This window comes from Homo sapiens, chromosome 6 (genome assembly GCF_000001405.40).
Source record: "Homo sapiens chromosome 6, GRCh38.p14 Primary Assembly".
Classification (NCBI taxonomy): Eukaryota; Metazoa; Chordata; class Mammalia; order Primates; family Hominidae; genus Homo; species Homo sapiens.
In genome coordinates this window covers 152,131,187-152,157,311 of record NC_000006.12, presented here as the reverse complement: position 1 = coordinate 152,157,311, position 26,125 = coordinate 152,131,187, and the positions used below count along the sequence as shown (strand labels likewise).

General features: G+C 41.3%; 1 protein-coding gene across 50 annotated transcripts in view; it reads left to right on the top strand.

Annotated features, from left to right (window-relative positions):
• SYNE1 (spectrin repeat containing nuclear envelope protein 1) overlaps nt 1-26,125 on the top strand; it is a 515,676-nt gene that overhangs the window by 480,051 nt on the left and 9,500 nt on the right. For 29 of the 50 annotated variants that reach the window (XM_047418508.1, XM_017010610.2, XM_017010609.2 and 26 more), the window contains 15 exons: nt 1,215-1,402; nt 2,270-2,420; nt 5,171-5,353; nt 5,622-5,759; nt 7,644-7,835; nt 8,934-9,267; nt 11,757-11,825; nt 13,547-13,689; nt 15,983-16,109; nt 17,151-17,362; nt 20,494-20,694; nt 20,998-21,039; nt 22,080-22,208; nt 23,824-24,036; nt 25,098-25,190. In XM_047418508.1, the coding sequence (XP_047274464.1) occupies nt 1,215-1,402; nt 2,270-2,420; nt 5,171-5,353; nt 5,622-5,759; nt 7,644-7,835; nt 8,934-9,267; nt 11,757-11,825; nt 13,547-13,689; nt 15,983-16,109; nt 17,151-17,362; nt 20,494-20,694; nt 20,998-21,039; nt 22,080-22,208; nt 23,824-24,036; nt 25,098-25,190 (2,415 nt within the window). The remainder of the gene's footprint in view (nt 1-1,214; nt 1,403-2,269; nt 2,421-5,170; nt 5,354-5,621; nt 5,760-7,643; nt 7,836-8,933; nt 9,268-11,756; nt 11,826-13,546; nt 13,690-15,982; nt 16,110-17,150; nt 17,363-20,493; nt 20,695-20,997; nt 21,040-22,079; nt 22,209-23,823; nt 24,037-25,097; nt 25,191-26,125) is intronic. The other 21 variants (NM_182961.4, XM_017010615.2, XM_047418511.1 and 18 more) reach the window with 3 other exon arrangements.

The window sequence follows — 26,125 nt, the reverse complement described above, 5'->3', positions numbered from 1 at the left end:
TCACTTAACATAGTGACCTCCGGTTCCATCCATGTTGCTGCAAACAACATAATTTCATTTTTTTATGACCGAATAATATTCCATTGTGTATATATATGCCACTTTTTCTTTATTTGTTCGTCCATTGATAACCATGTTACCTTTTAATGATGGTGGAATTAACTGTTTAAAAAAGAATGCAAATCAGCTGGGCGTGGTGGCTCACACTTGTAATCCCAGCACTTTGGAAGGCCTAGGTGGGTGGATCACCTGAGGTCAGGAGTTCAAGACCAGCCTGGCCAACATGGTAAAACCCTGTCTCTACAAAAATACAAAAACCAGCCAGGCATGATGGCGGGTACCTGTAATCCCAGCTACTTGGGAGGCTGAGGCAGGAAAATCACTTGAACTCGGGAGGCAGAAGTTTCCATGAGCTGATATTGTGCCATTGCTCTCCAGCCTGGGTGACAGAGTGAGACTCCATCCCAAAAAAAAAAAAGTAAATCTTTGGATCTTAAAGCCCAGTTCTTGAGTGCCAGGTCTAGCACATGCATATATACAGGCCCTTGGTATCTACGGTTCTACACTGGTGGATTCCACCAACCGTAGATCAAAAGTATTTGGAAAACAATTTGCATCTGTATTGAATACATACAGACTTTTTATTCTTGTCATGATTCCCTAAACAATACAGTATAAGAACAATTTCTATAGCATTTACATTGTATTAGGTATTATAAGTAATCTCAAGATGATTTAAAGTGTATGGAAGGATGTGTGTAGGAGGTATGCAAATACTACAGCATTCAATATCAAGGACTTAAGCATCCATGGGTTTTGGTGTCCGAGGGAAGGTCTGGAACCAATCCCCTGACAGATACTAAGAGATGATGATTGATTGATTGGAATGAAAGTGATGTATTCGTGAAGTAGAGTCTGGGGCAAGATTCATTTTTTATTGATTAAAGAAGTTAGTTTTACTCTTAGTGTAGACCATTTCATTTGTTCAGTTTATATTTTGGCATTGCTCGCATAGCCAAAATATTTCTACATCCATTTTCTAGTACTTTTGAGCTTGCTGGATTTCATAAATGAGGCTCAATAAATGTCATACATTCAAGGAAATTAAATATTTGTCAAGGTGTAGCCTAGCCATTTACCAACATAGGTTGCTTCAGTTTCTCTCATCTGTATACATGTAATTGTTGAATAAAGCCTGTTACGTTCCCCTGCAGGAGCTTCAGAGAGACATAGAGAAGCACAGTACAGGTGTTGCATCTGTCCTCAACCTGTGTGAAGTCCTGCTGCACGACTGTGACGCCTGTGCCACTGATGCCGAGTGTGACTCTATACAGCAGGCTACGAGAAACCTGGACCGGCGGTGGAGAAACATTTGTGCTATGTCCATGGAAAGGAGGCTGAAGTGAGCTGGGATGCTGAAACAGATAGGGAAGAGGAAAGACCAAAAAGAAAATAAAAATCACCCAGAGTATCCACTGTTCACTCTTTCCTGTTCGTTACAATGTCCAAAAATAGCTGTGGCTTCCCAAACTTACTATTGTCTACATTTAGTTGGGAAAATAAGTAGGTATAAAGGTAATATATAAATATAACAAGCCAAGTTATGTCTGACCTAACAGTTGAAATATAATACGGAAACATAAAAATACACCCTTGTCAAACAAGCATAACATTACAGAATGTGTGGCTGTGAGAACAGTAACATTCTTTTATTAAAAATTAAATAATAAAAGCAGATTTATCTTTAAGCCCTTTGAAATTCAAGGTGGCAGAAAATCGTGCTGTGTTACAAAGTGATCATCATGGCTGTGCTCTCTGGTAAACTGTTGAAAGCTTAATATTTGTCCTGCTGTCATAGATTAACTTTTGTCAGTGTGAGTTGAATGTTGGACTTAAATGGATTTTCCGACCTCGTCTTTATTTCCGTAAGACACTGGCCTGAGTGCACACTGTAAACCTGGTGTTGCTTTTCTAAACTTGGTGCACACATTCAAGGCAGCTCGTGTGATGTGCTTGTAATTTTCAATTTGACTAATTCAAAATCCAGAGTTGCAGGACGTGTTTTTAAAAAAATAAAACAGCCGTTTTATTTTAGCTCAAGCAGTTGTCTCTCTTGCTCTCTGGTCAAATTTGGCTCGAGGAATGGTTATCGTTTGGCACAACAGTTGCCTCTGTGGGCACCCTTAATCCAGTCGCAGGCAGCAGACCGGGTTCTGGAGCGAAAACAGTCTCCAATAATCTGAATCTGTTCTTTCATTTTCCGCCCCAGAATCGAAGAGACGTGGCGATTGTGGCAGAAATTTCTGGATGACTATTCACGTTTTGAAGATTGGCTGAAGTCTTCAGAAAGGACAGCTGCTTTTCCCAGCTCTTCTGGGGTGATCTATACAGTTGCCAAGGAAGAACTAAAGAAATTTGAGGTAATCTATAATTCCAAATTTTTAATCCTTATTTTGCTATTAAAGTAGCCAGCTGGTAGTTGGAGTTCCAAGACCTAAACTAGCTGTTCACCACATGTTATCTGCTCAAATTGCTGCGTGAGGACTTTGCAGCCATCTTTATTATGACCTCATACGTAGTCATACGTATGAAGGGGGAAAAAGAGGTTTTTATTTTAAGATTATCAAGAAGCATAAATACTGTAGTAATGAAGAGAGATTCTATTAGAAAAGAAGAATCGTGATTCCTCCCAAAAGATCTTGGCATGATTTTTATTTCAGAATTATTCCACAGTCAACCATCTTTTCTAAGATTAAAATATGATTTTTTTAAACCATAAAAATCTACCTTCCACATACATTTTTGTATTTTCTTTACCTAATCGCAGTGTGTGTGTGTGTGTGTGTGTGTGTGTGTGTGTGTGTGTATTTGATAAAAGAGTTGACTCTAGAATGGAATAAAACATTTTCATTATAATTCATTTCTAATTACACAGTGAAGAGTAGTACTGGTCTTGAGTCACCAAAACTTTTCAATTACACTGAGATGAAAATAGCTGTAGTGTAATCATATTCATAAAGAAAGAAGTTATCCAAGAATTGATTCCAATACCTTGCCTGCTTGCACAATCTCGAGTCCACTCTATCACTGTTGTACAATGAAGCTCTGACTTCTCAGCTGCCTTTCATTTTCATGGAAGACCTGACCTAGCCCAAAATTGACCATTTTTAAATTTGAAGGTGTTTTTCCCTTCAGTTCCCACTAATAGGCAGTTGTGTACTCAGGTATGTTAACAGCAAAGAGTTCAGAAGCATTCTGACCATTGCTAATTATGCCCCCAAGTTCCTCGAGATGTTTAGAAATAAGACTGAAAATGTAATGAAATGTAGCTGCATTCATTTTTACCTTGCAACATCAGGTAACCAGGCATTTTCTGAGGCCTATGATGGGAAATAAGAAGTTCGCTTTTTTATTCTTATGGAGTTTAAAATCTCAGGGTTGTACATGGACAGCTATATGAATCTAGAAAAATGTTCAAATACTTTGAAATGGATGAATTACTCTGATGTCTGAATGGTGAATGAATTCATATGTAACTATACCACTAAATTAAAATAAACAACACTTTTATTCCTATATAAAAGATACTCCCTTAGAAAACTACTAGTAAAAAGCACAGTAAACTCTGCAGTAGATTCCAGGTCATCTCGATGTGAATGAATGCTAGTGGAGAGCTGCTCAACTGCATCTTACACACTCCCTTCATAAAGGTTAAAACCTTTTATAATTGGCTTATACTGCAAAGCAGATTATATAAGATTCTTTTTGATGCTATTTTAGACTCTCAGATTTTAAAGCAAAAGTTAGCCTTATAGTTAGCTTCTATAATGATTGATTTTATTATTTATCATGAATTTTGTAGTTAATTTTCTTAAGAGACAGAAATGAATTGCAGAAACGAAGTTGTGCTTGGGGGCAGTCTTTAGCTGGTCCAATCGCATGAACGTTTGGGATGGACATGGGTGTGCTGGGGTATCTGCCTGGGGGTACTCCAACCTTACCCCAGTGGGCAAACATGTACTGGGACTTCCAGTCATGGCCAGAGCTGAACTTTCCTTACCACTCCCTTTGCTGGAGAAATAACTTAAGGTTTTTAGACTGGAAGCTAGGATTTCCTAGGATGAAGGCTCTGAAAGCAGCTCTCACAAGGAAAGCAATTTAAGAGACAGAAATGTGGTCACATGTAAACAGTGTGATGAGCCAAGGAAAACAGAATTTGGGGATTTGATGAGTGCGGTTCAATTTATTAATTATAGTTTTCATTTTGGTCTAATGCCAAGATAAAAATCAGTCATAAATCATACAAATGATTTTTTTTAAAGCTTCATTTTATTTTGGCCAAATGACTCTTATGCTATAGGGCTCTTCTACATTGGAGGGAAAAGGCAGAAAAGAATATTTTACCTTCAGAATCTCTAAACTGACCCTGGGATAGCCTCAAAAGTAAATTGATGCTACTGTGTGGGTGGTACACTAGCTCTAACATGTTTTATAAAAACTAATTAAATCACAGGAACAACAAAAAAGAAACAGAGCATGTTCCAAATTTTTTAAAATATAAAGTTACTTGTATTTTACTAAATTACTTTTCTTAAAAGCTTATAATAGCTTGATTTTTTGGAAGACCTTTTGCAAAAGGTAGTTTTAAGTTTTTTCCTAATGGACAGCAGAATTGAGGTAATTTCTAGATTTTTAGAAAAGTACATATTTTACAAATAAACAGTTCCATTATAGATATCTTTTTCTCCATATTGACAGCAGAAGTTGTCAACATTTCAAACTCACATTTCCACACACACGTGTATATTTTTTATAGTGGTTTGCTTTGTGGGAATATTTGTTTCCAGGACATTAATTATTTTTAAAGCTACGTGTATATGTGTGTGTATGTATGTGTGTGTGTCTATATATGTGTGTTGGATGCGTGTGTGTTTATTCATTACTACTCCCCATTTTCATATTTTTTGATAGATTCTCCCTTTCCTTTAAGTTACGCTGACTAGATGACTTTGCATTAACAAGGGGAAGTGTACCGTTATTAGACATCATTCTTTCCCTCTGTGATAGTGTAACTTCCCATTCTCCCAGACGCTACAATAAGAAAACCAGGAGCCACTACTGAGAGTCCTTCGCTGATTTCTCACACTGATATGCTTCTCTGTGGCCTTAGGCTTTCCAGCGACAGGTCCACGAGTGCCTGACGCAGCTGGAACTGATCAACAAGCAGTACCGCCGCCTGGCCAGGGAGAACCGCACTGATTCAGCATGTAGCCTCAAACAGATGGTTCACGAAGGCAACCAGAGATGGGACAACCTGCAAAAGCGTGTCACCTCCATCTTGCGCAGACTCAAGGTTTTTGCTATGCCTCATCTGTAATTTAGAGGCCAGAGGATGGGACTGGGCCATTTGAATGCAGTCTTGAGACACAGTCTCAGTGATTTTGTAAGAATGGGATGGCAGGAGGAGTAAACCGGGGAGTGATATAGCAAAGGATTGCAGGCTTCTCATTGCTTGCTGAGAAAATGACTTTACAGAACACTGGAATTCGCTGTGCCATCTCCATATGTTTAGAAGGACTTTTAATAAAAATAATTGTTACTACTTTCCTCTTGCCTTCCAGCATTTTATTGGCCAGCGTGAGGAGTTTGAGACTGCGCGGGACAGCATTCTGGTCTGGCTCACAGAGATGGATCTGCAGCTCACTAATATTGAACATTTTTCTGAGTGTGATGTTCAAGCTAAAATAAAGCAACTCAAGGTAATAGATTATTTTTCAAGTTACCAAAGTGAAGAAAGCCTGAAAATGAAAGGATTTGTGGCTCTTTTGTGAAGAACATAGCAAATAACTTTTCTTTTGAAAAATTAGTTCTGGACTGCAAAAAAATTCAGAAAATGTAAAATATATAAAAAATCAGATAAAGAGCACTACCCAGAAATAACCACTATTGCTTATATCTGGGTAGTGCTCTTATCTTATTTGATATCGATATTGTTGTTGATATTTTTCAACAGCTTGATTGATTTTCAATCAGCTTGATTGCCAGGGTGTTAGGGATGTTCTGCTGTTGTTGTTTTGTTTTTTTTTTTTTTAGAGAGAGTCTCACTCTGTCGCCCAGGCTGAAGTGCAGTGGCGCAATCTTGGCTCACTGCAACCTCCACTTCCCTGGTTCAAGCAATTCTCCTGCCTCAGCCTGCCAAGGAGCTGAGATTACAGGCACATACCACCAAGTCCGGCAAATTTTTGTATTTTTGTATTTTTTTAGTAAAGATGGGGTTTCACTATGCTGGCCAGGCTGGTCTCGAACTCCTAACCTCAAGTGATCCAGCTGCTTTGGCCTCCCAAAGTGCTGGGATTACAGGTGTGAGCCACCCTTCCTGGCCTTGTTGTTGTTGTTTTCGTTTATTTTTTCTAATGTGTTTGTAGCACCTTCACATGGTTCCTTTAACCTCCATGTTGCAAAGCAATACAACTTTCCTATGTCGGGATTTCATTCCTCATAGTCTGCATTCTTAGATGCCAAGTTAATTTTAAACACATTTTGTATTTTTCACTATATAATTCAAACACAGTGGCTAGCTAGAAATTCGAATAGGAGGGATATACATTAGATGTAAGGATTTCCTAAAAGTGGGAGTATTTAACAAATTGAGTGTTTTCCAAGGAAGCTTATGAAATTTTCCTCCCAAGATAGATGGATTTTTTTAAAGAATGGTCATGACGCCCATAACCTTTGGGTTGTTATGATAAAACAAGGAACTTGCCCGTAGACATGGATTCTCAGGATGGAAGAAACAGTAAACCCTGCTATTCTGCCTCACCCTCTCCCCTGATTCCTCTCTCCTGTCATCTCACAGGCGAATCAACATTTACATCCTTCCACAGAAAGTTTCTGCCAAGTGTAATTGAATCTTGTCCCTTGGGACCCTGGCAGGATGATGGAAATTATTACTACCCTCTCTTCTCTCCTGGGAGTCTTTTTCACCATTGGACAATTCAGCTCTTCCACAATTTATTATTGTATTGAATTAAAAGTGAACACTGAAACATACCCAGTGATTTAAATCTTTTGCAACACATAGAATGAGTCTAAATAATCCTCCTGGAATTCCTTGTTTTTCAAATCATAACTTTACCTGCCTATGTTCTGAAATAATAAAAGAATCACCTGAGAAGAAGGCGTGGCATTGGATGGCTTCTCTTAGTCATGTTTGACATAGGATGAGGATATCTGAAATTAAAATGATCGGGATATTTCTTTAAAATGCTACATTTATTTCAGTGACAGTATATTGACTGCCATTGCTTTCATTAGGGATAACCAGTGCTGTCAACTTACGGTGGGTTTGAATATTTTCCCCTGTTATTCTCTACCCACACTACCTGTGATGGTAAATTTTATTAGCCAAAAGCGCTTTTCTGATCATGGAATTCGAATGTTTCTATTTATGACTCCTGTTCTGGCTGAAAATGCATATGTTTTACTTTAGAAGGTAATAGACTCTTGTCTTGTGATTGTATATGGTCAATTAAATAGCCCCTACATGTCTTTTTTAATGTAATGAGAAATACATCTATTATGATTCTTTTATATCAATGTAAGCAACAACAATAGCAAAATCACATGAGATTTGTACTCCCTAGGCCTTCCAGCAGGAAATTTCACTGAACCACAATAAGATTGAGCAGATAATTGCCCAAGGAGAACAGCTGATAGAAAAGAGTGAGCCCTTGGATGCAGCGATCATCGAGGAGGAACTAGATGAGCTCCGACGGTACTGCCAGGAGGTCTTCGGGCGTGTGGAAAGATACCATAAGAAACTGATCCGCCTGCCTGTATGTAACATTGATTTTCTTAGTTGTCATTAAATCTAAAGAGAATAAGTCGTGTGGGATTGGGTTGTATTGATAGTGGGTGAGAGCTCAGACTCTGGAGCTGGAGCACCTGAGTTCAAGTCCTAGCTTTGTCCTACATTGTCGCTGTCACCTTCGGCAAGCTACTCACTTCACCCTTCTTGCCTCAGCTTCCTCAAAAGTGAAAGTGGTTTAGTAGCAGTAACTACCCTGTACAAAGGATTGTTTTGAGCATTAGATGAGTTAATGTATACAAAGAGTTTAGAAGAACATTTGGCTCATATCTTCTATGGAAGATAAATAAGAATCTTTTGATCGCAGAAACATGGGGCAGCACTGCTCTAGAGAAGCCTCTAGAAGAAATAAGAGAAGCCTCTAGAAGAAATACAATAAAAGGAAGCAAAGTGAACAGCTTCTTAATTGATGAGGTTAGGTTTAGGTGAATTTTCATTCTTCCATTTTCCTAATTGCTACCATAATCACATCTTACTTATAGAGATGTTATTAGAGTATTTGGAATCTTCTACGATCAAACCTATTTTATATCTGGGCTATAAGGACAAGCTAAGGTCTTAGTAATTTGCTCTTATTTCCGATCCTTGCCAGTGTGTAGGTGTTGTGTGGTGGGCATGGTAGTAGATTGCCTTTCTTTATAATATTTATTTAATCTTATATTAATTATTTGAAGTATGTTTTAATGTTATTCCCATTTTACCAACAATGAAACTGAGGCTTATGTAGGATAATTTATAAGACTTTTTAATTTTTTCCCACTCAAAAAAAAAAAACCCTGTGGGATGCCTGGGACTGTTATTCCCATTTTATAGATGAGAAAACTGAGGCCCAGAGGAATTAAGTTCCTTATCCAAGCTTAAACAGGAAGCACACAGCGTAACTGAGATTTCAACCCAGACAGTCAAACTCTAGAGCAGCACTGTCCCCTGTATTTCTGTGATCAGAAGATTCTTATTTATTTGCTCATAAGAAGTTAAAAATTGTCCCCACATGGTAGGCAGGTGGCCCAGATAAGAAGCTAGTCTGACCACTACAGTGACAGGGTTGCCTTGACTTCCCTTCTAGCTCCCAGACGATGAGCACGACCTCTCAGACAGGGAGCTGGAGCTGGAAGACTCTGCAGCTCTGTCGGACCTGCACTGGCACGACCGCTCTGCAGACAGCCTGCTTTCTCCACAGCCTTCCTCCAATCTCTCCCTCTCGCTCGCTCAGCCCCTCCGGAGCGAGCGGTCAGGACGAGACACCCCGGCTAGTGTGGACTCCATCCCCCTGGAGTGGGATCACGACTATGACCTCAGTCGGGACCTGGAGTCTGCAATGTCCAGAGCTCTGCCCTCTGAGGATGAAGAAGGTCAGGATGACAAAGATTTCTACCTCCGGGGAGCTGTTGGCTTATCAGGTAGGAAAGAGCCTCTCCAGTTTGCCAGCTTAAAGGAAAGTCAGAGGGAATTAATATTGCCCTGGAAACATGACAGCTATCCAGAATCATTTGCTTCCTTCTTTCATGCGGGGAAATTGTACCTAAGTGAACACTTAGATATGAATGTGATTATAAAATGCAAAATTTGGTGTGGCCGTTGATTTATTCCACGTAGATTTGTGGTAGTAGGTGACAAGCGCTTTGCCAGGTTCTAGGGATACACAGTTCCTCTTCTTCTCCCAGAGCTTCCACTCTAGTGTGGGACACAGTGAGAAACCACTGTATGAAGTGTTTGGGGCTCAGATGGCAGTGTGGTGGCAGGACACACAAGCAGGGGCGACAAAGCCGGAGTCCTGGGAGAGACTTCGGGAAAGAAACCATGGAGCAGAGTCCAGAGGGTGAATCGCAGTTGGTCAGGTGGGCTCGGAAGTGCTTAGAGGAAGAAAGGAGGGGAAGCCTCCCTGCTTTGTGATTGGCCTGGTGCTTTTGATCATTGGCAGTTTGTCTGGAATGACAGGCATGGAATGGACAAAGTGGAGAAGAGCCTGGCTGTGAAGCAGCCTGTTCACCATGGAAAAGAGCTGTGGCTCCTATCCTGAAGGTCGTGGAGCCACAGCAGGATCTGCGGAGGGAGGTGCTGGGATCCTCCCTCCTCAGGGATGTGCAGATTTTCATATTGTATCTTTCTGGATACCACAGGGAGAAGGGCATATTCAGCGGAGAGAGTCCAAATGAAACCTTTTACAACCTCAGACAGAAGTAGGGTGGTGGCCTGAACTAGGGGAAGCAGAATTGGGAATGGGGAGAATGGGAATGATGTGAGAAATCACACAGAGAAGACTCCTCCAGAACTCTCAGTCCATTGAACTGGGATGGAGGCGATTTTCTGGGCTGGGCATCTTGGTGAAAGATGCAGGTGGTCCTAGGCCCTGAGGACCACAAGAGGGAAGGAGCACTGTGGGTGCAGGTGGGCAAGGGAGGTGGGGCTGTGAGAGCAGGGAGGGGATGAGTTTGCTTGTGTGCATCCTGATCTTGAGATACCTGCAGAATATCCAAATGCAAAAGTCCAGTCGTAGATGCACGGTGTGAAGTGCAGAAGCCAGAAATGCAGATTGGGTAGGTATTCACATGTAAATGGCAATGGTCCTGGAGTGAACGGAGGAGCTCCCACAGGAAGAGTGTGTGAAGGAAAACAAGAAGGACCACCACCCAAGCCACACATGCAGTGAAGGGATGGACAGAGAAACAGAAACTCTGTAAGGAAGGTGAATAAAAATAGAATAAAGAGTTGGAGGCTGATTTGTGGCACTTGGAAATGTATCTCATACATTCTGTCAAAGGACATCTGGGGAATTTCTGTTTGGTTCTGGTGGTTCACATCAGATTCCCAAGGGATGACACTGTTCTAAAAAGAAAATGATTTCTCTCATTTCTATTTTGTCTTTACAGTAAGGCCTATTAGTCAGGCATATGGCATCTGAAGCAGAGCTGTCCAAAACCAGCCACTGGCCAGTTGGGACTGTTGAGCTCTGAGATGGGACTGTGCAAATTGAGATGGGTTGTGCGTGGAAAACATGCTTACATGAATTTCAAAGACTTAGTACAAGAAAGAAAATAAAATATTAATAATTATATTGATTACATGTTATAATCCCTGTCTAATGTAGTGTTAAAATTAATTTTATAAGTTTCTTTTTACATTTCTAATGTGGCTATGAAACCTTTAAGATTACATATATAGTTCACATAGAAATATATGGGACAGCGCTGCTCTGGAGTCTGGGCTGAAATCTCAGTTCTGCCATGTACTTTCTGTTTAAACTTAGATAAGGAACCTAATTCCTCTGTGCCTCAGTTTTCTCATCTATAAAATGGGAATAACATTCCCAGGTACCCTATAGGGTTTCTATGTGATAAATTTGTGCTCAGACCAGAGCCTGGCTCATAAAAACACTCTCAGTCACTGTGAGTTCTTTTTTTTTTTTTTTTTTTTTTTTTTGAGACGAAGTCTAGTTCTGTTGCCCAGGCTGGAGTGCAGTGGCACAATCTCGGCTCACTGCAACCTCCACCTCCCGGGTTCAAGCGATCCTCCTGCCTCAGACTCCCATGTAGCTGGGATTACAGGTACCTGTCACCACACCTGGCTAATTTTTGTATTTTTAGTAGAGATGGGGTTCCACCATGTCGGCCAGGCTGGTCTCGAATTCCTGACCTCAGGTGATCCACCCGCCTTGGCCTCCCAAAGTGCTGGGATTACAGGCGTGAGCCACCATGCCCCACCCACTGTGAATTCTTATGATTCATTTCAGGAAAGCTTTGGTGAGCCTGCACGCTCCTCTGTGCGCTCAGGAGCTATGTGTCTAGAATAACTGACTTCCTTTTTTTCCCCTAGGAAAGTTATTTTCCTGCACAAGGGATTCAGGGTTTCCAGAACTTAGCTGTCAACTTAGACTGTGCTTTTTTTGCAGATGTAATGATCCCCGAAAGCCCTGAGGCCTATGTAAAACTCACAGAAAATGCAATCAAAAATACCTCCGGTAGGCACAACAAGCCGGAGCCAGCCTCCCTCCCTCCCCTGTATAGCAATCCTCCTCTCTTAGCACATCTGCTGTCTCTCTCCCAGCTTTGTGGCTCTAGCATGTTAAGGCACAGCCTTCCTCTCTTACTGCTGTACTAGAAAAAACAGCTGGTTAAATCCACACCAAGAATAAGATTTCACTAATTGAGCGAAATAAAGTAACTTCTCAACTTGTTAAATGGTGATTGGTCTCATTAGGTATAGACCTCTCATGTCCATTAACTGCAGAAAATATGAGAAGGAAAACCCAGTCATCAGCCTCTGCGCCCTAGTGTTCTACGTGGTGTGGTAATTTCAGCTTCACTGCATGCAGACCTACCTGTGGCTGGAGACTCAGGGTGCAGGCTCTGGTCCCAAGTCCGCCAGCCTGCATGAGTGACCTTTGGCCCATCCACCACTTTATCCTCCTCATCTCAAGAATCCCGTATGAGACAAGGGGTGAGATCAGATTTCAGCTCTAAAAAATATATGTAATTTTAATTTAAGAGGTCGTAAAAGATAATTTGAAATGAAAAATGTATTTCACGGTATGCTGAGCCATAGATAAGAACAGAACTATTCCTGAAACAAGAAGAATTAAAGAAAGAAAAATGGAACTAGTTTTGCTTAGTGTTGTGTTAGACAAACTGTAGTGCAGGAGTTCAGGATCAGTGATGTGGGATGTCGGCGGGGAATAGAGTTTGAACGCAGTGATATGATATTGAATCACGGAGTTACTAGTTTACGCTTCAGTTTTTGAAGAAAATCAAAAGGACAGAAAGCAAAGTAACATTACTGAGAGGGTGATTCCCAGGGAGGGACCTCTCCTAGGTGTATCTAGAAGGCCTTTTTTAGAAACAAATAAAAACATTTAATAAAGCTTACTAATATTTGTTCTGCTTTCACCCCATGCTAGCTTCACTGATGATCAAATGTTCCTGTGTAGTTCGAAGACTTTGACACACACACACACACACACACACACTCTCAGTAATTTTACAAAGAAATGTTACAACTTTGAGAGGAGAATGAGCCAGAATTCTAGGCTATGAGTAAGAACCTGCCTAGATGGAAATGTTAAAATCTTAGCTTTCTCCTGGTTTTGTTTCAGATCTTAGATAAAAAGCAAGTCGTTGCTAGTTTGATATCTCTGTATATATCTATTCTGAGGCACTCTTTTCTTGATTAATGAATTTATGCCTTCAGTAAATGATGCAGCAACCTGAGCCTTCCGTGACACTATCTTCCCCTGAGGTGCATGAAGAAAAATCAGAGGGAGGATCTTCCCCTGCTCACTAAGCGATAGCAGAAAGAACATGAGAAAAAGAACAGCTTTCTCCTTACTGAGATGCAGTAGACACCATTGCAGATTTTTAGAAAGGCCTTCCACACTGACAACATTCAGATGATCAGGGGTTCAGCTGGAAGAGGGTCAGGTGCACGAAGCTGTTCAAAACGGACTGGAGAGCCGTTTTGCGACGTCCGATCTGCTAGGGCTCTCAGTCAAGCACCTTCATTGGTTTGGCCATTTTAATGTCTAACCCACCGGCACGATGGTACTAAATTTGCTTTGTAATTACCCACACCTGCCATTTCTATGCTGCTGTAACTGAAATCATTTCTGAAACTTCTCCTTGAATATCAAGCTTTAAATAAGTCAAATAGTTTGTCCAGTAAAGATTCTTATGGTTGCCACCGCAGGGGACCACAGTGCCCTAGAGTCACAGATCCGACAACTGGGCAAAGCCCTGGATGATAGCCGTTTTCAGATACAGCAAACCGAAAATATCATTCGCAGCAAAACTCCCACGGGGCCGGAGCTAGACACCAGCTACAAAGGCTACGTAAGTATCCTGGCCATCCTGATTCCGACCTGTGCGAAACCACAGTTCTGTGTCAAAGAACAGTTCGTCTGCAGCATCAGGGCTTTATGTGGTCTCTGAATACCATGCTGCCCTTGAACTCGTGAACCTGGATGTGCAAAGCCAAGCCCTGTTATTAAGTTACCATTTGAGTAGAACTTGTCTGTTTTTAGGCCCACAAAACTGTTGTAATGACAAACCTGTTCCTTTACACTGAGCACTTAGGGAGATCCTTTTCATTGAGAGCAACAAAATACTTTGGCTCCCAAAAGTCATTAGGCATTTTTCCAAATTCAACTAATAATTTTTGGACCAAGGTTATCCTTGGAGCAGCAGATTTTAGCTAATAGATTACTAACATGCAGTTTTTTTGGTAGTTCTTTTCCTGGGTTCACCGAATGACCTTGGGAATGTTTTTCTCTTCTGTTTTTTAGTGTGCTCATTCTGAAGAAAACAGTTCTAGCAAGAGGGATTTGGGGAAAAGATAGCAAGGCATTGGATATACTACCAGTTCTATCTATGCGGCTATTGGCTATGTATGATAAAGTCTAGCAGAGGGTTATTTGCCCTACTCGAGTTACTGACCAGTTAATTTTCCCTAGAGAACTACCTGCTTTCCTACGCGTACTTAAGGAAGAGAATTTTAAAGCCAGTCTCTTCTCTGCCTCACGTCTTCTTTCATATCCAAAAGACTGGTTAGTACAAGGAAAGAAAAATGAATTTCCCCAAGTCTGGTCACAACTCACATGTTCTACTCTTTGAAATTAGGAAAGAAAACTGTTCTAGCTATATATGTTGATTTTATTATCCTTATAATTACAGAAGAGCGGTCAATTATGAGTTTGTTTCCTGTTCAGTTTGGCCTATTATACCAACTTCTATTATAGTGAAACCACTTTTTAAAAATACCTATGATATAGTTTTATGGTAATCATACTGACATCACTGGGATTACACTTAACCTCAATCAAAAGTAATCAGAATAACAGTCCTACTGGCATTGTGATTTGTTAAAGGATTTATGGTAAGCACAGCAGGAGTATCTTGAAATGATTTGTTCTTTTAATCTTTGAATACTGTATGTGATATTAAAAATGAATTTGGAAGCTTTTCTTTGACTTTAGAATTTAGTCCCTTGATGCCTATTAAACATTGCTTACATTTTTTTTATAAAACAGCTGGCTTTAATATTGCTCTATAATTTTAAGTATTTTAATTATTTAATGCAAGAAAGTTCCCATGAGATTTGTCGTAACATTAACGTTCCCACATTTCAATTTAAGAAAGAGAAAGAGGGAGCAGCTTGCCAAAAATTATATACTGCATTGCCAGCTGAGGGCTCCGAGTTTTAAATTGCAGATTGGTTTAATCTGTTTTGAGTCATGAATCGTAAAGAAACTTGAAGGACTTCTCGTGCAAAATCATGTATGCAAAGTATATCTTTAAGGCATTGTTTTTTGTATATGTGAATGTATCACCTGTTTAAAAGGCATGTTTTTGAACTTTGCTTATTTAATTTTTTTTTTTTAAGAGACAGGGTCTCACACTCTGTCACCCAGGCTTGAGTGCGGTGTCATGGTCTTAGCTCGCTGCATGCAGCTGAATTCCTGGGCTCAAGCAACCTTCTCACCTTAGTGCCCTGAACAGCTGAGACTACAGGTGCTCACCACCACGCCTGGCTCATTTTTAAAATATTTTATAGAGACAGGGTCTTGCTATGTTGCCCAGGCTGGTCTCAAACTCCTAGGCTCAACTGATCCTCCCACCTCGGCCCCCAAAGTGCTGGGATTAGAGGCAGGAGCCACCGTGCCCAGCCTACCTCTGCTTATTTTTTCTTTTTTCTTTTTTTTGAGACTGGGTCTCACTCTGTCGCATAGGCTGGAGTGCAGTAACACAATTATGGTTCACTGTAGCCTCCACCCTCTGAGCTCAGGTGATCCACCTCAGCCTCCCAGGTAGCTGAGACTACAGATGCATGCCACCATGCCCAGCTAAATTTCTTGTATATTTTGTAGAGACAGAGTTTTGCCATGTTCCCCAGCCTGGTCTCAAACTCCTGAGTTCAAACAATCCATCTTCCTCGGCCTCCCAAAGTGCTGGGATCACAGGCCTGAGACACCACACTCGGCCATCTTGGCTTATTTTTAGCAGGGTGGCACAGAGGAGCCAAACACAGACACTTCTCTTGCTGAGAAATTACAAAGAGATTTTCCCCGGAAGCTTTTGCACTCATGAAGATTTGGGTGACAGGGGCCGGTTGTTTATGTCTAAACAGATGAAACTGCTGGGCGAATGCAGTAGCAGTATAGACTCCGTGAAGAGACTGGAGCACAAACTGAAGGAGGAAGAGGAGAGCCTTCCTGGCTTTGTTAACCTGCATAGTACCGAAACCCAAACGGCTGGTGAGTGCGTAGCATCCAGTTCAAGAGTGAATGAAATAGAAGATCCTGAAGCACTTTGTTAACAGCGAAATTCCACTTAGGGGGCTTGGCCTTCTTCTACACCGTTCTATCCTGAGAACTTCCTTCCAAGTTATAACAGTCTCCTTTTTTGTTGTTTGTTTGTTTTTTGAGGCGGAGTGGCGCTCTGTCGCCCAGGCTGGAGTGCAGTGGCGCTATCTCGGCTCACTGCAAGTTCCGCCTCCCAGGTTCATGGCATTCTCCCGCCTCAGCCTCCCGAGTAGCTGGGACTACAGGCGCCCGCCACCACGCCCAGCTAAATTTTTTTGTATTTTTAGTAGAGGTGGGGTTTCACCGTGTTAGCCAGGATGGTCTCCATCTCCTGACCTCGTGATCCACCCGCCTCGGCCTCCCAAAGTGCTGGGATTACAGGCGTGAGCCACCACACCTGGCCAACAGTCTCCTTTGACAGTGAGGGGATGATGCATGCCATCATGGTAGTGTTTGCCCATGTTTCATTTATTATTATTATTTTTAATATTGAGATGAAGTCTCGCTGTGTTGCCCAAACTAGACTCCAACTCCTGGGCTCAAGTAATCCTCCCGCCTCCCCTCGAGTAGCTGGGATTACAGGCGCGCACTACCACCCCAGCTCTCATGTTCCAATTATTTTAATGCACTGTTTCTCACATATCTAATCAGGCATTTTATATGTGTGTGCTCAGAGCCCTATTGTAGACAGGATCCAAGAATTGAACGATCGTTCGTGCTCATGACTGCTTATTACTTCGTAAAGCTCTTTACAGTGTGAATGCCCATGTAACTAACTTTTTTGCTTCATTATTATTAGAAATACAAATAGAAAAAACACAGCCATTGTACCCATGTAACTGTTATTTCCAGATGACAACAACGAAAATGCCCAGTGGAATTACTTTTCTTTCTGTTGCTATTTAAAATTGGCTGCCAACCTATGTTTAAAGCATTTCATAAACATCACATGTAGAGGAAAATAACCTCACTGTTCTATGCATGTCTTGCCAGGTGTGATTGACCGATGGGAGCTTCTCCAGGCCCAGGCATTGAGCAAGGAGTTGAGGATGAAGCAGAACCTCCAGAAGTGGCAGCAGTTTAACTCAGACTTGAACAGCATCTGGGCCTGGCTGGGGGACACGGAGGAGGAGTTGGAACAGCTCCAGCGTCTGGAACTCAGCACTGACATCCAGACCATCGAGCTCCAGATCAAAAAGCTCAAGGTAGCTGCCCCTTGCCTTTCCCACGGCGGACAAACAGAGAGCCACCGCGTGAACGACCGTGCAGATGGCACCTCTAGTTCGAGCTGCTCTTACACAGCAGCAGAAAAGGGATCTAACAAAAATGAGTGAGAATGCTCTCCTCACCTCCAGCCATCCCAAATTCCTGTATTCCACAAAGATGGTTTTCTTTTTTTTCTTTTCTTTCTTTCTTTCTTTCTTTCTTTCTTTCTTTTTCTTTCTTTTCTTTTTCTCTTTCTTTTTCTTTCTTTCTCTCTCATTCCTTCCTTCCTTCTTTTTTTTCTTTCTTTCTCCTTCTTTCCTTCCTTCCTTCCTCTCTCCCCCCTCCCTCCCTTCCTTCCTTCCTTTCTTTTTTTTTTTTTTGATGGAGTCTCACTCCGTTGCCCAGGCTGGAGTGCAGTGGCATGATCTCAGCTCAGTGCAACCTCTGCCTCCCAGGTTTAAGCCATCCTCCTGCCTCAGCCCCACTAGTAGCTGGGATTACAGGCACGCACCACCATGCCTGGCTAGTTTTTGTATTTTTAGTAGAGATGGGGTTTTGCCGTGTTGCCCAGGCTGGTCTCGAACTCCTAACCCCAGGTGATCCACCCACCTCAGCCTCCCAAAGTGTTGGGATTACAGGCATGAGCCACCGTGCCCGGCCACAAAGATGGTTTTCAAGGGCAGAAAAGGGGACCATATTGTAGAACTATACACCATGTAAATAAGCACACACGATTTAATGAATTGATATTTTAAGAAATGTCCAATTAAAATTTCATGAAGCATCCAGGTACTTCTGGGACCTACAAGAACTCTTTGTAAGGGAAATACAGAATGACCTGGCTCCTACAGGCCTATATCTAGAGCTGGAGAGAAATCCTCTCCAAAATTGTATCTGCATGAATTTGTGGGGGACATAATGAAGTTATTTGACCTCAAGTAAGTGAAACTTCTGAAATTGATTACAGTAGTGGTAGAAGCAATTTTTGCTGTAATAAATAAAACTATAGAGTAATTGTGGTGAAACACCTGGCATTTGCGTTTGATTTTGGCTTGGCCCGCATGGATATAGTACACCTTAACTCCAGCTCTAGATCTTAAAATCCTCCTTAACCCAGACACTAAAATGCTTTAATATATGGAGACTATTGTGAGCATCTCATGAACTGAGAGCTCAGTTTCTTTTTAAAACCCATCAGTGCTTGTTTTTTCCTGTTTGGACAGTATTAAGATGTGCTCCTCCTCAAAATGTGGCCACCTAGGCTCTCCGGGGTCAGGATAAGGAATGAAGTGTGTGCTGCTTTTGTGTTTCTGTGGTTTTAGTATATGCTTTTTATTTGGGGTTGATGTTTTTTGGCTTGCTTTTAGTGATTGTGTGATTTTGTTTTATTTTATTTATTTATTTATTTATTTATTTATTTATTTATTTATTTATTTTTGAGACAGAGTCTCACTCTATCACCCAGGCTAGAGTGCAGTGGTGCGATCTTGGCTCACTGTAACCTCCGTCTCCTGTGTTCAAGCGTTTCTCCTGCCTCGGCCTCCTGAGTAGCTGGGACTACAGGCATGCACCACCATGCCCGGCTATTTATTGTATTTTTAGTAGAGACAGGGTTTTGCCATGTTGGCCAGGCTGGTCTCGAATTCCTGACCTCAAGTGATCCGCCCGCCTCGGCCTCCCAAATTGCTGGGATTACAAGCATGAGCCATTGCGCCTGGTCTGTTTTAAATTTTCAAACAGAAAACTTCAAACAAGAGAAATGAATCTCCCCTCCAGGTGATCCAAAAGGTGCATCCCTATAGAAAGGCCTCTACACTACCCCATGAATTTCAGGACAAAGTACCACGTGAGAGAGATTTACAATGGCTGCATTATGAAATGCATTTTTATCTAGAGTCCCTAAATTACTCTAGTAAGGCCATGTTGCATTATAACCAGATTCCTTAAAAAGTTGATGAAGCAAATGCTGGCCAGGGTCTGAGACCTCAGAGAGATTAGGGTAGGGAAATAAGACCTTGAAAGTCATCCGGCATGACAAGAAAAAAGACATCCTCCTTTGTACTTTCTCCTGATGCTTCCTGTCTGTATTTTCTCTGAATAAATCTGTGGAATAATCAAGTATTTTCCACAGTGTCTCTTAAACCCATGTTGTCTGTGTGGTTGAATCTATTCTACAGTATGTTAAGAACCTATTGAAAAGTGCAAAATCAAGACAGATTGGGAACATTGCAGGGCTAGTGAGAAATGATTTCAAAATGCAGCCTAGGTCAATGTGACTTCCAGGATCTCTCACCCTAACTGGATTGGGGGATTTTAAACAGTACCTAGATACTCAATTACTAATACAGACTCCTGTGCTCAAGTTCTTGGAATTGAGCACTGGGTGTTTTGGAAATGCACAAAGCCAAAAATCAGTCACCTGGTTTTTGTGAAATCAAACCTAACTGGTTAGCTCATGAAATACCCAATTCATTCTCTCTACCTTCACATCAGTGTGGCACAGGCAGTATTCTCAGCCTGTGGGCCACTGAGCCTGCAGACTCAGTACATCTGGATCCCAGGGCCCTGGCATCTGTTTTCTTTGCTTCATTTTTAGGCCCACAAATTTGAATTTTGTTGTGGTTGAACCTCTGTACAGAGTGTGGACTCAATCATACTCCTTAATGAGGTCATTGCCTAGCGTTATTGTTGCCTCCTACAAGACTCCTCTTTATTCCTCCCCCCTGCACCCCCTACCCTGGCTGAACTCTAAGTTCCCATTTGATTTTCAAAATGGTAGCTATTCTGAAATATGTGGCAGACCTTCTTTGTTCAGATATATTCTTTAAAAATGTGGATTTGTGTGTGTGAATGTATTGAGGCTGTTGTGTTCCATGTAACATTCTGTTTCTGACGTTTTCACTCTACACCCTGTTTTCTTAAGATTCATCCATGTTGTTAAGTACTCATCTAATTCATTTCTTCCAACTGCCATACAGTTCTCAGTGGTACGCACCCTCTGTCTTTTACCTAGCCATCCTGTTAAGGCCAGTTTAAATTAATGGATCTTTTCATTCATGTGAAACATTTTCAAGGGAAAATATCTTTGTCATTATTGTCCTTGTTTGATTGTCTTTTTTGTTCTTTTCAGGAGCTCCAGAAAGCTGTGGACCACCGCAAAGCCATCATCCTCTCCATCAATCTCTGCAGCCCTGAGTTCACCCAGGCTGACAGCAAGGAGAGCCGGGACCTGCAGGATCGCTTGTCGCAGATGAATGGGCGCTGGGACCGAGTGTGCTCTCTGCTGGAGGAGTGGCGGGGCCTGCTGCAGGATGCCCTGATGCAGTGCCAGGTCTGTAGAGCTTTGGGCAGGAGGTGACTCAGAGAGAGACATTAGCAATTTAGCTGAGTGTGTGACTTGATGTATCATGGTTTCTAGAGGGACGCAGTTGCTCCCCAAAGTCAGTATTTCAGTGAGATAACCTTGTGCCCAAACTTTTCATTTTACTGGAGCATTTCTACATGTTCATGATCATGTTCAAAATCTCTAGGTCCTATCTTCTGTCCAGATAAGAAGAGACTATTCCTCATGTTTATCTCCGTCGCAACGCTCCTTCTATGACTCATTCATTTATTTCCTTTATTTATTCAACAGATATTTACTGGGCAAGTAGGCAGACCCTTCTTGAACATCAAAGTGAGCATTGCAAATATTTGTTTTTCCATTCATACTGTAATTACTTGCTGGGCGTCCACCATATGGCAGACGTGGTGCTAAAACATTGAATACAGCATGGCCTCTGCTTTTGTTGGGGAAGACAAGATCAATAAAATGCAAGCAAATAGTTAAACCAGATACTTGCAGACGTGGATGATAAAAGTAACTGAGAAAAGCCACTTTGAGAGGGTAGTCAGGGAATTTATTTGGCTCTTTGAGCTAACATTGGAAGGATGTTGCTATGAAGGTAATATAATAAATGGAAAGTCCCAGAAGCAGGAAAGGACTTAGTGTCTTTAGGAACAGAAAACAGGCCATTGTGACCAGAGTGTAGTCGGTGAGCTGAGCCAGGGAGTGAGAAGAAAGACTGAGGAGGTGGTCAGGAACCAGATGGCTTTGTAGGTCCAGGCCAGGAGATTGGATCATATTCTGAGCGCCATGGAAAGCCCTGGAAGGAGTTGAAGCCTGCTCTCCAGGTTTATATGTGCCCCAAGAGTAATATAATAGTTCCTTGAAAGCGGGTACCTAAACTGCTGTTTCACCTCTGCACCCACTCCTAGTACAGTGCCTTATCTGTAGGAGATCTTTAGTAACTGTATGTTGAATAAATAAATGGATGAATGAATGAGTGAATAAATGAATGAATGAAGGGGATATGAGATTCAGCCTAGGTGGGCCTTAAAATATGGAAAGATTTGACTACACAGAGAAGAGAGGGCAGCAGAGTTGCTTCCTTCCAAACTGTATAATAGCACTACCCTTTTTTCAGAAATAACGTATGTTGATGCCAGTTTTCCTTTCGTCTAAATTGTCCTCCAAGTAATAAATTAGATGCTTTTGGTAAGAACGTGAACTCACGATCAGGTCATTACAACAGCACCAGTGCCTTCCTCAGAAAGGAGTTGCATGTATGTTCTTAAAACCAAGTATGTTTGCTAATGGTGGCAGTTGAAAGACATTTAAGTTTTGAGAGAAATAAAAATATTTTATTTACAGTTACTTTAAACTGTTTTCTGTAGGGTTTCCATGAAATGAGCCATGGTTTGCTTCTTATGCTGGAGAACATTGACAGAAGGAAAAATGAAATTGTCCCTATTGATTCTAACCTTGATGCAGAGATACTTCAGGACCATCACAAACAGCTTATGGTAAGATGTGTGAACTCTGGCAGCCTCCAGTTATTTTTAGCAGGGTTGCATTTCATTTACAGAAAATGAATATAAGTGGTAAGTGTTGTTTCTTTTTTTTTAACTTTTTGCATTATAGTCTCTACTTTACACTTTTTTAACTCCCTGTGGTTTCCAATCTTTGTAAAGCAAACATGTGCATAGAAGATGATATCTGCTAGCTTTAGAATCTGATTCTAAAGTTGTTGCTCAGTTGTAAAAATCTTAGTGTTCTCAAGCAATCTTAATTAGCTTGTGTTGTTTATTAAGGCAGCTTAATTTAAACTTCATGTTACATCTATGGCCCAAAAGTATATTTGGTGGCTTGTAGTAAAAGGTCATTAAAATATTAGAATAGAATGAGACAATTAAGTCTTTTGTTTGTTTTTGTTGTCGTTGTTTTTTGAGACAGAGTCTCACTCTGTTGCCCAGGGTGGAGTGCAGTGGTGCGATCTCGGCTCACTGCAATCTCCGCCTCCGGGATTCGAGCAATTCTCCTGCCAATTCTCCTGCCTCACCCTCCCGAGTAGGTGGGACTACAGGTGTAAGCCACCACGCCTCACTAATGTTTGTATTTTTAGTAGAGACAGGGTTTCACCATGTTGGCCAGGCTGGTCTCGAACTCCTGGCCGCAGGTGATCCACCTGCCTCAGCCTCCCAAAGTGCTGGGATTACAGGCATGAGCCACCACACCCAGCCGAGTCTTTCAAAGAGGAATTAAATACATCAGATTAAACATGAACCTGAGCATCAAGTTTTCTGAAAGCCAAGACAAAATGGGAAACAAGGAGTAAACTTACTTTCATTATCTGGCAAAAACAAAACATACCACTTCTCAAGGAAGGAGAAACTTTTTCTAGCACTAAATTCAAGAGGAAATTAACTGGTAGACTCTTATACAAGGATCTTTGGACAATATAATGTACAGTATATTTAAGTGACTTTATAGAAGATAAGGAAGCATATTTGAGTTCCATTAGAAGAAAATATTATGCACTTTGTAGCTCTCTGTATTTTTAAAATGTTATGTCTTAACATTTAACACTCACCTAAACTACAGAATTGGTACCTTTTAATTCAGTACCATAATAGTCTTAGAAACCTAGAGGAAATAGCTGTGGAACTGCATTTTTACTTCACTTTGACCTCTGGCATCAAGCTGTGAATGACGAATCACCCCTTTTTTTTTTCAAATCTTGACTAGATATCAGAGGATACCTAGACATACTTCTGCTTCGCTATATTTAATGTTGTGCTTTTCTGTTTAAAAGATTATCTTACATCTCACTTGCATACTAATCTATATTTTAATTACTGTCATATATACATTAACTAATTTGAACCTTCCAATAATACTGTGGACCAGGCATCAAATCAAACTGAGATCAGAGACGGTCAGGGGTCTTATAGAATATTTTTGGCAGAGGCAGGATTAGAACTCAGGCCGTGAGCTGCTGCATCCTTTAGTGTGTGAGCTCCACGTTTGATGCTCAGGTATAATTTCCCACCAAGTTAAGTTGATTGCATTCTGCACTTTTGGAGCTTTTGCCAATTATCAAAAATGCTTAGAAAAATTAATTTGTTTTTGTATGCATAGCAAATAAAGCATGAGCTGTTGGAATCCCAACTCAGAGTAGCCTCTTTGCAAGACATGTCTTGCCAACTACTGGTGAATGCTGAAGGAACAGACTGTTTAGAAGCCAAAGAAAAAGTCCATGTTATTGGAAATCGGCTCAAACTTCTCTTGAAGGAGGTCAGTCGTCATATCAAGGAACTGGAGAAGTTATTAGACGTGTCAAGTAGTCAGCAGGTAAGCAATAAACAGACATCATCGTGTAGCATTTCTTACTGGAGACCAAAGAAGCATCATCTTCATGCATTTTAGAAAGACTTTAAATATAGTACTTGTCAGAATGGAGTGTCTCCTTTCAGCCACTGCTCTTACAAGTCCTGTCTCAAAATAAAAAAGCAGCCACATAAACTTTTACAACAGGACACTGCTTTTGATTCTGTTAAATCCAAAAGCTCTCTTGTTGTTGCTACTAATGCTATTACCACAACTGCTGTGGCATTTTATTTCACCCTGTTTAAGAATTTACACACTTTAATTACACAGCCATGGTAGAGCAAACCAATTGTTGTATCTGAGTTTTGTATTTAACCACTCTCAGGCATGAATTCTCCATTATGTATACAGAAAAAAAAAAAAAAATTAAAAAACAGTCCTCTGCTCATTTAATTTTTTATATTTTTTTTTCTACAATCAACTCCATTGTGGTATTATTGGTTTTGAGAAATGCATTTGCAGGTGAGATGTGGTGATGCCTGGTAAGATTTCAACCATTCTGCTGTGAAATCCTGCCATGAACACATGCTTTGCCCTGCTGTAAGCATGCAAAAGAACAATCTACTCTGAATAGCAGCAGTGTCTGAAATAGTAAAGTCCTCTAATGCAAAAAGGCAGACTCCTAGATGACTATCTTTTGTTTCCAACTGGAATGTATTGACTTCTGTTCAGCCTGAGTGACCAGCAGGCTCTACAGCAGGTGTCTTCCCCTCCCAAGCCAATATCAATTCATTCATATCCATGTCTCCAAGAAATAATAAAGCTATAAGTGAAACATAGCAATAACAAAATCATAGCTATATTTTCCAGAACGGCCAAACGGACAGCTAGGAAATCCCAACACACTAGAAGAATTTGGCCCTATTCTTGTACCTGTCTGGTTCCATTTTCCCCAAGGAATGGTTTGATTTTTATGGTGGAGACATGGGGGTGGATGGAGATGGAGTGGGAGATAACGTGGTGCAACAGAGGGCCCCCATGGGTCTGGGACATGGAGTTGTTAAAAGAATCTTTCTCCCACATAGGATTTGTCTTCCTGGTCTTCTGCTGATGAACTGGACACCTCAGGGTCTGTGAGTCCCACATCAGGAAGGAGCACCCCAAACAGACAGAAAACGGTAACTTTCCACTGGTCGTTTTCAGTTGGCCCATGGGAGTGAACACTGGGAAGTGACAGTATTTGCACCCACCACAGGGTTCACAGGCAGGCGTCCCCTCCAGAGGAGGGCTGTCACACAGGGTAGCGCGCTTCCTCAGCCCTGCCACATCCCCTCCCAGCACGCGCTCAGGAATGGAAAAGAGCGATTCTGGTTTTCAAAAGAATCAGGACTCAACGTGTGGCTGGTATGCAGGGAGAACATTTATTTTTCTTGCTCAAATAAGAAAATTTCCAGAATGGTGCCCATTTGTCCCTTTGGTGGCTCCTTTCTTCAAGCCATGGCTGCCACGACTATCTTAAAAGGTAGGCCTCCACTTGCGGGGCGCCTCGGCTGGAGGTGCACAGAACCGTGAACGCCTGTGAGCCATTGACTCGTTAAGGCAAGTGGAGGTTCTGTTGACTCTCAAGCTAAGCCGCTTCTGGGTGGTGGTCCTGAAGGTTTGCGGCAGTTGTGCCACCCCTAAAATGGCAACAACTCACCCACAGGCCTTGGCGGGGGCTGCCTCACTGAACACAAAGAGGATGAAAGGACAAATTCGGCCCCTGCTACCCTCTATGCCTTGATTTCTCTGTGTAATTAGAAGCTTGTTTTTTGTTTTGTTATATATTTTTTGTCCAGCTTTATGATTATATTCATTCCATTTTTCCTTAGTTTTTAGAAGTTTTGATTTCATTTGACTTTTTTGTTATAAACATTTATGTTCTATGCTGATAAATGTATTATCTTTTTTAGGATTTTTTTTTTTTTTTTACTACATTCACTAGTTTCCTATAGATCCTAGTTTAAGAATGTGAAGGAATACTGGCTTTTCAAGTCAAATTTTAACCTTTCTTTAAGTTGAATATTTAAGTTGGGCTTCATCACTACAAAGACCAATCTCATATTGCCATTGT